The sequence below is a fragment of the Homo sapiens genome, chromosome 11, assembly GCF_000001405.40.
Source record: "Homo sapiens chromosome 11, GRCh38.p14 Primary Assembly".
Classification (NCBI taxonomy): domain Eukaryota; kingdom Metazoa; phylum Chordata; class Mammalia; order Primates; family Hominidae; genus Homo; species Homo sapiens.
Window position 1 is genome coordinate 116,823,549 of NC_000011.10, and position 11,958 is coordinate 116,835,506.

The 11,958-nt window shown below is 55.1% G+C and overlaps 1 protein-coding gene across 1 annotated transcript, besides 4 other annotated features; it reads left to right on the forward strand.

Annotated features, from left to right (window-relative positions):
* Positions 1,744–2,110: an enhancer, noted in NCBI's record as "Amplicon_123_11:116201218-116201584 (NCBI36/hg18 genome assembly) insert fragment". NCBI's record gives its function as "drives selective reporter gene expression in differentiated C2C12 myotubes {active_cell/tissue: C2C12}" and the evidence as "EXISTENCE:reporter gene assay evidence [ECO:0000049][PMID:22144875]".
* Positions 1,744–2,259: a biological region, named in NCBI's record as "skeletal muscle cis-regulatory module in APOA4 and APOC3 intergenic region".
* Positions 1,965–2,259: an enhancer, noted in NCBI's record as "tiled region #10241; HepG2 Activating DNase matched - State 5:Enh, and K562 Activating DNase unmatched - State 8:EnhW". NCBI's record gives its function as "activates a minimal TATA promoter and a strong SV40 promoter by Sharpr-MPRA in HepG2 cells, with weaker activation in K562 cells {active_cell/tissue: HepG2 | K562}" and the evidence as "EXISTENCE:reporter gene assay evidence [ECO:0000049][PMID:27701403]".
* Positions 5,879–6,811: an enhancer, noted in NCBI's record as "H3K4me1 hESC enhancer chr11:116700143-116701075 (GRCh37/hg19 assembly coordinates)". NCBI's record gives its function as "activates a minimal SCP1, AML or CMV promoter by ChIP-STARR-seq in naive H9 embryonic stem cells {active_cell/tissue: H9 hESC(naive)}" and the evidence as "EXISTENCE:reporter gene assay evidence [ECO:0000049][PMID:30033119]".
* APOC3 (apolipoprotein C3) lies at positions 6,359–9,524 on the forward strand. The gene is made up of 4 exons (NM_000040.3): positions 6,359–6,392; positions 7,022–7,089; positions 7,225–7,348; positions 9,216–9,524. The coding sequence occupies exons 2-4, from the start codon at positions 7,035–7,037 to the stop codon at positions 9,334–9,336; spliced, it is 300 nt and encodes a 99-aa protein (NP_000031.1). The 5' UTR covers positions 6,359–6,392; positions 7,022–7,034; the 3' UTR covers positions 9,337–9,524.

The window sequence follows — 11,958 nt, forward strand, 5'->3', positions numbered from 1 at the left end:
GCATGGAAGGGAGGAGGGGAACGGAAAACAGTAGGAGAAACACCTCAGGGAGCCCATGAGCCCGGGACTGATGCCTCGAGGCCCTGCTGGCGGCTCTGGGTTTGTGCCGGGCTCATGGGGGGCAAAGTCCACATCTCCTCTGTCTACCCCAGTGAAGACAGGTCCCCCCAGTCTCCACATCCGCCACTAATGCTGACTCCATCTCAGAGCACCAGACACTGGAGTGGGACCATCCAGGACTGCAGACAGCATAGTGAGCTAAAATCTAGGTCTCTTGTCAAGGTACACCCAAGAGGAGGGGGCCCTGGAGAGCCTTTGGGCAGATGGGTGTGGGAGACAGGGCCTTGTCCTGAAAGGGTTAATTGTAGAGTGCTTCATGTCCCACTCCCATGCTGTGCCTCCTTGGTCTAGTTATTCAAAGCCCTGAGCTTCAGTTTCTCCTCTGAACAATGGGATGGTTCAGTACATTAAAGAAGACATTGCTTGCGAAGTGGGTAGTACGGTCATCTCTCAGTCTCCATGGGAAATTGATTCCAGGACCCTCTGCAGATACCAAAATCCATGGATGTTCAAGTCCTTGATATAAAATGGCATAGTATTTGCATATAACCTAAGCACAGCCTCCCACATACTTTAAATCTCTAGATTACTTATAATACCTAATACGACGGAAATGCTGTGTGAATGGTTGTTATACTGTATTGTTTAGGAGGTAATCACCAAAAAAGTCTGTATATGTTTAGTACAGGTGCAATTTTTTTTTTTTTTGAGATGGAGTCTTACTCTGTCACCCAGGCTGGAGTGCAGTGGCACGATCTTAGCTCACTGCAATCTCTGCCCCCCAGGTTCAAGTGATTCTCCTGCCTCAGCCTCCTGAGTAGCTGGGATTACAGGCACCCACCACCACGCCCAGCTAATTTGTGTATTTACAGCAGAGACGGGGTTTCACCATGTTGCTCAGGCTGGTCTCCAACTCCTGGCCTCAAGCAATCCTCCCATGTGGGCCTCCCAAAGTGCTGGGCTTATAGGCGTGAGCCACTGCGCCCTGCCCAGATGCAATTTTTTTAAAACATTGTTTTTAATGGAGATGGGGTGTCGCTATGTTGCTCAGGCTGGTCTCCAACTCCTGGCCTTAAGTGATCCTCCAATCTCTGCCTCCTAAAATGCTGGGCTTACAGGCATGAGCCACTGCACCCGGCCCACAGATGCAATTTAAAAAAAAAAATATATATATATATATATATATATTTTTTTTTTTTTTTTTTTTTTTGAGATGGAGTCTTGCTCTGTCACCCAGGCTGGAGTGCAGTGGCACGATCTCGGCTCACTGCAAGCTCTGCCTCCCGGGTTCACGCCATTCTCCTGCCTCAGCCTCCCAAGTAGCTGGGACCATAGGCGCCCGCCACCACGCCCGGCTAATTTTTTTTTTTTTTTTTGTATTTTTAGTAGAGATGGGGTTTCGCCGTGTTAGCCAGGATGGTCTCGATCTCCTGACCTCGTGATCCGCCCGCCTCAACCTCCCAAAGTGCTGAGATTACAGGCGTGAGCCACCACGCCCGGCCTAAAAAATTATTTTCAATCCAAGGTTGGTTGAATCCATGGACACAGAAACCAAGGATACAGAGGGCTGCCTATAGAGCTCCTGGCACAGAGTAAGCTCTGAAAAATAGTTGCTGTTATTATAATAATCATACTGTATAATAATCATACTGTGTTCCTGATTTGGAGCAAAGCAGGGAGGGTAGCAGAGTGCTCCCTCCTCTAGTGAGAGTGGCAGAGTGAGACTCAGCCCTCTGAGGGGCGCCAGGTGGGCCAGAGGCAGGGTGATGGGTGGGACCAGCCTGAGGCCTGACTCCTGCCCTTCTTGCCCCCCAGCCACACTCCCTGGGCAGGAGCAGCTGGCTTGAGCAGAATCTTGGGACCTGAGGCTCTCAGGGGACCTCCCATTGGGGGATGGAGGGCAATGGTGGTGGTGCCCAGGAGGTCTTCTACTTAGATGTCTATTGGATCTCTAAATGAGGCTGCATGCATAATCACACACAAACATCCACTGAGAAGGTGACACACCACGTCAGCATGGGTCCCTCTGCCGGACCACACCACTCCTAGTGACTATGAGGTGACATCCAGGCACGTTGCACTATTGGCTCCTGTCGGTGAGTGCAGTGCCTGACAACAGTGAGCTACATTTATTTGTAAAAATGAACGCCATCAGAGTAGACCACAATTGTACTAACTCTAATTTGCTTTGTGTTCATTTTTTCAGTTTCCAGAAGTGGCTTAATGTTTCCTAGGGTCAAAGGCAGTCAAATGACCTCCTGACTCTGGCACCCCTTCTGCTGGGTCCCCACTGCCCTGTAGTGGTCCCCACGCTACCATGCTGCCTCCTTTTTGATGCAGCCTGTGCCATCTCTCCGTGATTGTTGGGGTCAGATGCTGGAGTCCACTCCCTGGCTTGGCATCCAGGCTCCAACACGTACTGCCTGTGTGTCCTTGGGCAAGTCTCATAACCTCTCTGAGCCTCAGTTACCTTGGTGAGACATAACCATTGTACCTGCCTCCTAGGCTGTGAGGATTCACTGAGATGATCTTATAGTGCTTGCAACAATGTCTGGCACATAGGAAAAGTGATCACTAAATGTTAGCCACGTCTTACTCCTGCAAGGCTCACCTCCCTGGAACCCATCGGTCCCAACCCTGCTCCTGAATCAGGCACAGTCCAGCTTGCAGCGGGAGCAAAGGTCAGTACTCAGTGCCCCTGTCCCTTCCCCAGGCCAGAGGGGAGGAGGAGACTGAGTCACGAATGACACCTCAGCCGCAGTTTGACCTCCAGGACTTACAGTCCTAGCAGCCGGTGCCACTAGCATGTGAGAGGTCCAGAGGCGCTTCTGTCTCACCCGCCCGCCTGGGTGCACCCATGCTGGGAGCGCCTGCACCATTTGAGCATGTCCGAGAGCATCCACCAGAGTGTGTGTGGATTCACAGAAGTGTGCAAATCACTAAGAACCAAGGGACTGGCACAGCCCATGCGTGCACCCACGCTCGCGAGGGGACCTGCTGCCTTTCAACGTGGCGGGGACGTGACCTGTTAATGAATGTATTTACTTCCCAAAGTCTGAGGGTACGTTTTGCATCAATCTGTAGATGGATTTGTTTTGGGGAGCAGGGAGAGAATGAGAGCCCCCTGTGCTCAGTCTTAGAGGGTGCAAGTAGCTGATGGGAAGAGCAGACTGCCTTCCAGCCAGGCCTGGTCCTGTGAGTCAGGGACGTCCATCTTAGTGGGCATGAAAGGCCTGTGTGATCTCGAGGGAGACATCGCCTCTCCAAGCCTCTCCTTATCTGTGCAACAGGCAGACTTAATGATTGGTGAGGCAATGAGGCTGATAGCTCAGCATTAGCTACAGCCACCCCTCCTGGCCAACCACACAGGGATCAAACCAGGGGTCAGTCCAGAGGTCAGAGTCAGGAGCAGACAACTCAGATCCAGCCAGGGACAGGCAGGTCACACGGACATGTGCCTCACGTATGCTTCAAGGGGCCCTCCCCCGGGCAGAACTGAAGGACAGCTCCTGTTGCCATAGGAGGGAGCTGGGTGAGATACTAGGAGGAACTTCCGGCATGATGATGTGTGATGAACAAGGGCCTCTGGCCAACAGGTCTGAATCAGGGCTGCCCAGCCCAGCCTGGTGGGAAGGGCATGGAGCATGGGGGCTCATGTACTAAACCTCACCTGGACACAAGGTGAAACAGCCCAACCCCAGAGGACCATTTTTGGCCCCGGATGGTCAAATCCCCTCTTCCTCCCATCTACCACTGGCTTCTCCCTGGAGCAGTCTTCATCCCAGGGGAGCCATGATGGGAGAGAGGGGCAGCGCAGGCTGGCCACCAAGAGATCCCCTGCCGGGGTGCAGGTTGGACTGTTGGTGAGGGGCCACAGGTATTCTCAGGTACCAAGCCCTTGGAAGGAGACAAGGTACCAGGCTTCCTGGAGGTGTGCTACATCTAGCTCAGCACCCTGCCAGGTCTCTCTACCCACATGTCCTGACCTCCCTGGGTCCGTTGCCATGCGGGAGAGAGAGGCCAGGCTCCTCCAGACCCTCTGCAGAGATGGAAAGGCTTGGAGGGTCTGGGGCCACGGGACCCCGCCAGCCCATTCTAGCACACCCGGGCCCATAGACCTTGTTGCCTGCCCCTGCCTGGATCTGGGTCCCCACTGTGCCTTTGCCTCTGGGGCTATGGAGCAGGCCGCAGCAGAAGAGGAAAGGGCATCCCCAATACCAAATCCTCCAGTGACCACTTCTTCACCTTCTACCCCACCACCAAAGTCTGCAGGAGACTTGAGACAGGTTTGTTCTGGGCGTGTGACTGATGCCTCTATAGGGGTCTCAGTGCTCTAAGCCGTCTGGTATTTGCCTGGGGTGTGTGAAGACCTGGATTAAGGTTCCCAGCCTTACTACTAATGGGCTGTGCACTTGGAGCCCTTAGAGCCTTAGGTTTCTAACCTATAAAATGGACTTAACGTCTACTTCACAGGGTTCTATTTGCATTTTAACAGAAAACAAAGTCTTAAGTCAAAGGAATGAATCTCTCTCTCTCTCTCTCTCTCTCTTTTTTAGACCAAGTCTAGCTCTGTCACTGGAGTGCAATGGTGCGATCTCTGCTCACTGCAACCTCCACCTCCGGGGTTCAAGCAATTCTCGTGCCTCAGCCTCCTGAGTAGCTGGGACTACAGGCGTGCATCACCATGCTCGGCTAATTTTTTGTATTTTTAGTAGAGACTGGGTTTCGCCATGTTGCCCAGGCTGGTCTCGAACTCCTGGCCTCAGATATCCGTCCGTCCCAGCCTCCCAAAGTGCTGGGATTACAGGCATGAGCCACTGTGCCCAGCCAGGAATGGATCGCTAATAGAGGAATTCCAAGTCTCACCCACCGATAAAGAATTCTGAGGGCAGAGCCGGGCCACTTTCTCAGGCCTCTGATTTCATACTGTGGTGTTAGTTACTTCTGAGAGGACAGCTTGCTGCCAGAGCTCTATTTTTTATGTTAGAGGCTCCTTCTGCCTGCAGACTCTGCTGTCTGGGAAGGGCACAGCGTTAGGAGGGAGAGGGAGGTGTGAGTCCCTCCATGGACCCGCTGCTTTGTACTTCTCTATCTCATTTCCTTTTCAGCACCACTCTGGGCAATCAGTATTCCAGCCCCATTTTATCCTCAGAAAATTGAGGCTCTGAGATGTTATCTCTGTGACCTGGGTCCTATTACGTGCCAAAGGCATCATTTAAGCCTAAGATGTCCTGGCTCCAAGGTGTCAGCATCTGGAAGACAGGCGCCCTCATCCTGCCATCCCTGCTGCGGCTTCACTGTGGGCCCAGGGGACATCTCAGCCCCGAGAAGGGTCAGCGGCCCCTCCTGGACCACCGACTCCCCGCAGAACTCCTCTGTGCCCTCTCCTCACCAGACCTTGTTCCTCCCAGTTGCTCCCACAGCCAGGGGGCAGTGAGGGCTGCTCTTCCCCCAGCCCCACTGAGGAACCCAGGAAGGTGAACGAGAGAATCAGTCCTGGTGGGGGCTGGGGAGGGCCCCAGACATGAGACCAGCTCCTCCCCCAGGGGATGTTATCAGTGGGTCCAGAGGGCAAAATAGGGAGCCTGGTGGAGGGAGGGGCAAAGGCCTCGGGCTCTGAGCGGCCTTGGCCCTTCTCCACCAACCCCTGCCCTACACTAAGGGGGAGGCAGCGGGGGGCACACAGGGTGGGGGCGGGTGGGGGGCTGCTGGGTGAGCAGCACTCGCCTGCCTGGATTGAAACCCAGAGATGGAGGTGCTGGGAGGGGCTGTGAGAGCTCAGCCCTGTAACCAGGCCTTGCCGGAGCCACTGATGCCTGGTCTTCTGTGCCTTTACTCCAAACACCCCCCAGCCCAAGCCACCCACTTGTTCTCAAGTCTGAAGAAGCCCCTCACCCCTCTACTCCAGGCTGTGTTCAGGGCTTGGGGCTGGTGGAGGGAGGGGCCTGAAATTCCAGTGTGAAAGGCTGAGATGGGCCCGAGGCCCCTGGCCTATGTCCAAGCCATTTCCCCTCTCACCAGCCTCTCCCTGGGGAGCCAGTCAGCTAGGAAGGAATGAGGGCTCCCCAGGCCCACCCCCAGTTCCTGAGCTCATCTGGGCTGCAGGGCTGGCGGGACAGCAGCGTGGACTCAGTCTCCTAGGGATTTCCCAACTCTCCCGCCCGCTTGCTGCATCTGGACACCCTGCCTCAGGCCCTCATCTCCACTGGTCAGCAGGTGACCTTTGCCCAGCGCCCTGGGTCCTCAGTGCCTGCTGCCCTGGAGATGATATAAAACAGGTCAGAACCCTCCTGCCTGTCTGCTCAGTTCATCCCTAGAGGCAGCTGCTCCAGGTAATGCCCTCTGGGGAGGGGAAAGAGGAGGGGAGGAGGATGAAGAGGGGCAAGAGGAGCTCCCTGCCCAGCCCAGCCAGCAAGCCTGGAGAAGCACTTGCTAGAGCTAAGGAAGCCTCGGAGCTGGACGGGTGCCCCCCACCCCTCATCATAACCTGAAGAACATGGAGGCCCGGGAGGGGTGTCACTTGCCCAAAGCTACACAGGGGGTGGGGCTGGAAGTGGCTCCAAGTGCAGGTTCCCCCCTCATTCTTCAGGCTTAGGGCTGGAGGAAGCCTTAGACAGCCCAGTCCTACCCCAGACAGGGAAACTGAGGCCTGGAGAGGGCCAGAAATCACCCAAAGACACACAGCATGTTGGCTGGACTGGACGGAGATCAGTCCAGACCGCAGGTGCCTTGATGTTCAGTCTGGTGGGTTTTCTGCTCCATCCCACCCACCTCCCTTTGGGCCTCGATCCCTCGCCCCTCACCAGTCCCCCTTCTGAGAGCCCGTATTAGCAGGGAGCCGGCCCCTACTCCTTCTGGCAGACCCAGCTAAGGTTCTACCTTAGGGGCCACGCCACCTCCCCAGGGAGGGGTCCAGAGGCATGGGGACCTGGGGTGCCCCTCACAGGACACTTCCTTGCAGGAACAGAGGTGCCATGCAGCCCCGGGTACTCCTTGTTGTTGCCCTCCTGGCGCTCCTGGCCTCTGCCCGTAAGCACTTGGTGGGACTGGGCTGGGGGCAGGGTGGAGGCAACTTGGGGATCCCAGTCCCAATGGGTGGTCAAGCAGGAGCCCAGGGCTCGTCCAGAGGCCGATCCACCCCACTCAGCCCTGCTCTTTCCTCAGGAGCTTCAGAGGCCGAGGATGCCTCCCTTCTCAGCTTCATGCAGGGTTACATGAAGCACGCCACCAAGACCGCCAAGGATGCACTGAGCAGCGTGCAGGAGTCCCAGGTGGCCCAGCAGGCCAGGTACACCCGCTGGCCTCCCTCCCCATCCCCCCTGCCAGCTGCCTCCATTCCCACCCGCCCCTGCCCTGGTGAGATCCCAACAATGGAATGGAGGTGCTCCAGCCTCCCCTGGGCCTGTGCCTCTTCAGCCTCCTCTTTCCTCACAGGGCCTTTGTCAGGCTGCTGCGGGAGAGATGACAGAGTTGAGACTGCATTCCTCCCAGGTCCCTCCTTTCTCCCCGGAGCAGTCCTAGGGCGTGCCGTTTTAGCCCTCATTTCCATTTTCCTTTCCTTTCCCTTTCTTTCTCTTTCTATTTCTTTCTTTCTTTCTTTCTTTCTTTCTTTCTTTCTTTCTTTCTTTCTTTCTTTCTTTCTTTCTTTCCTTTCTTTCTTTCCTTTCTTTCTTTCCTTTCTTTCTTTCTTTCCTTTCTTTCTCTTTCTTTCTTTCTTTCCTTTTTCTTTCTTTCCCTCTCTTCCTTTCTCTCTTTCTTTCTTCTTCTTTTTTTTTTAATGGAGTCTCCCTCTGTCACCTAGGCTGGAGTGCAGTGGTGCCATCTCGGCTCACTGCAACCTCCGTCTCCCGGGTTCAACCCATTCTCCTGCCTCAGCCTCCCAAGTAGCTGGGATTACAGGCACGCGCCACCACACCCAGCTAATTTTTGTATTTTTAGCAGAGATGGGGTTTCACCATGTTGGCCAGGTTGGTCTTGAATTCCTGACCTCAGGGGATCCTCCTGCCTCGGCCTCCCAAAGTGCTGGGATTACAGGCATGAGCCACTGCGCCTGGCCCCATTTTCCTTTTCTGAAGGTCTGGCTAGAGCAGTGGTCCTCAGCCTTTTTGGCACCAGGGACCAGTTTTGTGGTGGACAATTTTTCCATGGGCCAGCGGGGATGGTTTTGGGATGAAGCTGTTCCACCTCAGATCATCAGGCATTAGATTCTCATAAGGAGCCCTCCACCTAGATCCCTGGCATGTGCAGTTCACAATAGGGTTCACACTCCTATGAGAATGTAAGGCCACTTGATCTGACAGGAGGCGGAGCTCAGGCGGTATTGCTCACTCACCCACCACTCACTTCGTGCTGTGCAGCCCGGCTCCTAACAGTCCATGGACCAGTACCTATCTATGACTTGGGGGTTGGGGACCCCTGGGCTAGGGGTTTGCCTTGGGAGGCCCCACCTGACCCAATTCAAGCCCGTGAGTGCTTCTGCTTTGTTCTAAGACCTGGGGCCAGTGTGAGCAGAAGTGTGTCCTTCCTCTCCCATCCTGCCCCTGCCCATCAGTACTCTCCTCTCCCCTACTCCCTTCTCCACCTCACCCTGACTGGCATTAGCTGGCATAGCAGAGGTGTTCATAAACATTCTTAGTCCCCAGAACCGGCTTTGGGGTAGGTGTTATTTTCTCACTTTGCAGATGAGAAAATTGAGGCTCAGAGCGATTAGGTGACCTGCCCCAGATCACACAACTAATCAATCCTCCAATGACTTTCCAAATGAGAGGCTGCCTCCCTCTGTCCTACCCTGCTCAGAGCCACCAGGTTGTGCAACTCCAGGCGGTGCTGTTTGCACAGAAAACAATGACAGCCTTGACCTTTCACATCTCCCCACCCTGTCACTTTGTGCCTCAGGCCCAGGGGCATAAACATCTGAGGTGACCTGGAGATGGCAGGGTTTGACTTGTGCTGGGGTTCCTGCAAGGATATCTCTTCTCCCAGGGTGGCAGCTGTGGGGGATTCCTGCCTGAGGTCTCAGGGCTGTCGTCCAGTGAAGTTGAGAGGGTGGTGTGGTCCTGACTGGTGTCGTCCAGTGGGGACATGGGTGTGGGTCCCATGGTTGCCTACAGAGGAGTTCTCATGCCCTGCTCTGTTGCTTCCCCTGACTGATTTAGGGGCTGGGTGACCGATGGCTTCAGTTCCCTGAAAGACTACTGGAGCACCGTTAAGGACAAGTTCTCTGAGTTCTGGGATTTGGACCCTGAGGTCAGACCAACTTCAGCCGTGGCTGCCTGAGACCTCAATACCCCAAGTCCACCTGCCTATCCATCCTGCGAGCTCCTTGGGTCCTGCAATCTCCAGGGCTGCCCCTGTAGGTTGCTTAAAAGGGACAGTATTCTCAGTGCTCTCCTACCCCACCTCATGCCTGGCCCCCCTCCAGGCATGCTGGCCTCCCAATAAAGCTGGACAAGAAGCTGCTATGAGTGGGCCGTCGCAAGTGTGCCATCTGTGTCTGGGCATGGGAAAGGGCCGAGGCTGTTCTGTGGGTGGGCACTGGACAGACTCCAGGTCAGGCAGGCATGGAGGCCAGCGCTCTATCCACCTTCTGGTAGCTGGGCAGTCTCTGGGCCTCAGTTTCTTCATCTCTAAGGTAGGAATCACCCTCCGTACCCTGCCTTCCTTGACAGCTTTGTGCGGAAGGTCAAACAGGACAATAAGTTTGCTGATACTTTGATAAACTGTTAGGTGCTGCACAACATGACTTGAGTGTGTGCCCCATGCCAGCCACTATGCCTGGCACTTAAGTTGTCATCAGAGTTGAGACTGTGTGTGTTTACTCAAAACTGTGGAGCTGACCTCCCCTATCCAGGCCCCCTAGCCCTCTTAGGCGCACGTGAAGGGAGGAGGCCGGATGGGCTAGAGGTTGGAGTAAGATGCAACGAGGCACTATTCTTGGCTCCACCACTTGATATCAGCCTCAGTTTCTTACATGTAAAGTGGATACAACCGTACCCCCTCCACCGTAGGTTTGCCGTGAGATTGAAATGAGAGAGCGTTCGAACCGTTTGGCACAGCACCTGCACGTAAAGATGCTTGATCAATGTTGTCATGATTACAGTTGAGCTGACTGGGCCCTTGGGACCCGGACTGGAGTGGTGGGGGGCAGTGTCCTGGGACCAAAAAGAAGCACAAGGTCTCCCAATAGAGGCTGCTTCCTTTGTGTCCCCACCACCCGAAAGATGTCAGGTCAGAGAGCCCGAGAGCTGCAGATGGCTTGAGTAGGGCTCCACTCTTCAGATCAAAAAACTGTGGCCCGGAGAGGCGAAGGCACTTGGCCAGCATCACAGAGCCAGCACGTGGCAGGGCCAGACCTTGAGCCCAGGTCAGCTGCGTGTATTCTGCTCAGTTGGTGCAGAAAACAGTTTTGTCACTCCTATGTCAGGTGTTAGGGACTCCTTTACAGATCTCAGTGGCATCAGTACATCCAGCCCCACCTGGAGACTGCTTTCTCTCTGAAAATTCCCCAGGGCTTCTCTCTGGGCTGAGAGATCTCAGCACCCGTATCTAGAAAATGTTCCCACCCAGACCTGGCTGGATGACTGCTGTTGTAGCTCTGGAAGGTTAGGAACTAAAAAGCCCACTCCTTTACCTAGGGTAGCTAAGATACACTGGAGATGGGGACATGGGGATGGGGCCGATTATCCAGGGGCCTGCATGAGGGGGCAAAAGGCCCTGCAGAGAGAGGGTAGGGAAGGCACTGCCCAGATCTGTGAAGCCATGTGCGTGCACGCGGGGACATTCAGACATGAGTGCAAGGAGGGACCGTGAGCAGGGAGGTCATGTGAGAATACACAGGCATGCCTGCACACCCATGTGAACTTGAGTGCCAGGCCACACACTCTTTTTTTTTTTTTTTTTTTTTTAGCTGGAGTCTTGCTCCGTCGCCCAGGCTGGAGTGCAGTGGCATGATTTCGGCTCACTGTGACCTCTGCCTCCCAGGTTCAAGCGATTCTCCTGCCTCAGCCTTCCTAGTAGCTGGGATTACGGGTGCAAGCCACCATGCCCAGCTGATTTTTTTTGTATTTTTAGTAGAGACAGGGTTTCACCATATTGGCCAGGCTGGTCTCAAACTCCTGGCCTGAAGTGATACGCCCACCTCAGCCTCCCAAAGTGCTGGGATTACAGGCTTGAGCCACCGCACCCGACCCGCGCACTCTTTTCAATAATCATGGATGGCCAGGGGTGCAGGGTCTAAAAAGCGCGGCCTAGCCCATCCTGCTGTTCACTGGGCAAGCGACGTCACAGGTCCAGGCTTCAGTGTCCTCATCCATGCTCTGCGTCTGATGGCAATCTAGCCAGGATGTGGGGAAGGGAGGATGCAGTGAGAGCACAGATATGAGAGCATCTTGGAAATAAAAATGTACCTGCAAGAGGTGGTGGTGAATTTTCTTACTCAGGCCAGCTTCTGCCAGGGCTGGCAGAAAGAGGGGGTGGCATGGCATGGAGCCGCAGGGGGTGGAGGACTGGCTTCCACTGCTGTGCCTGAGGAAGCCGCGGCTGTTTCTGGGCGGGATGGGAGTAGTGGGAGGGGGATACTGGCCTTGTGAGAAGAAAAGGGAAGTGTCTGTTTGAGAGGTTTTTGAATTAGTAAAGGAGGACAGGCGCAAACTCCAAGCGCTTCACTTGCACCCGGGACCAAACCCCAATCCCAGTGGCTGGCTCCCTGAGGCCGCCCCGCTCCGTCCCGCCCCGCTGACAGCGGCTGGGCTGGAGAAGGCTCTATACGGACACACCTCTGGGGACGGGGAACCCACTGCTCCCAGCTAAAGCAACCCTGTTTCCTGGCCCGCCTCAGACAGGGCTGCAGGCCTTGTTTGAGCCCCTTTCAGGGCACCTGGCCTTGGATTGTCTGTGGCT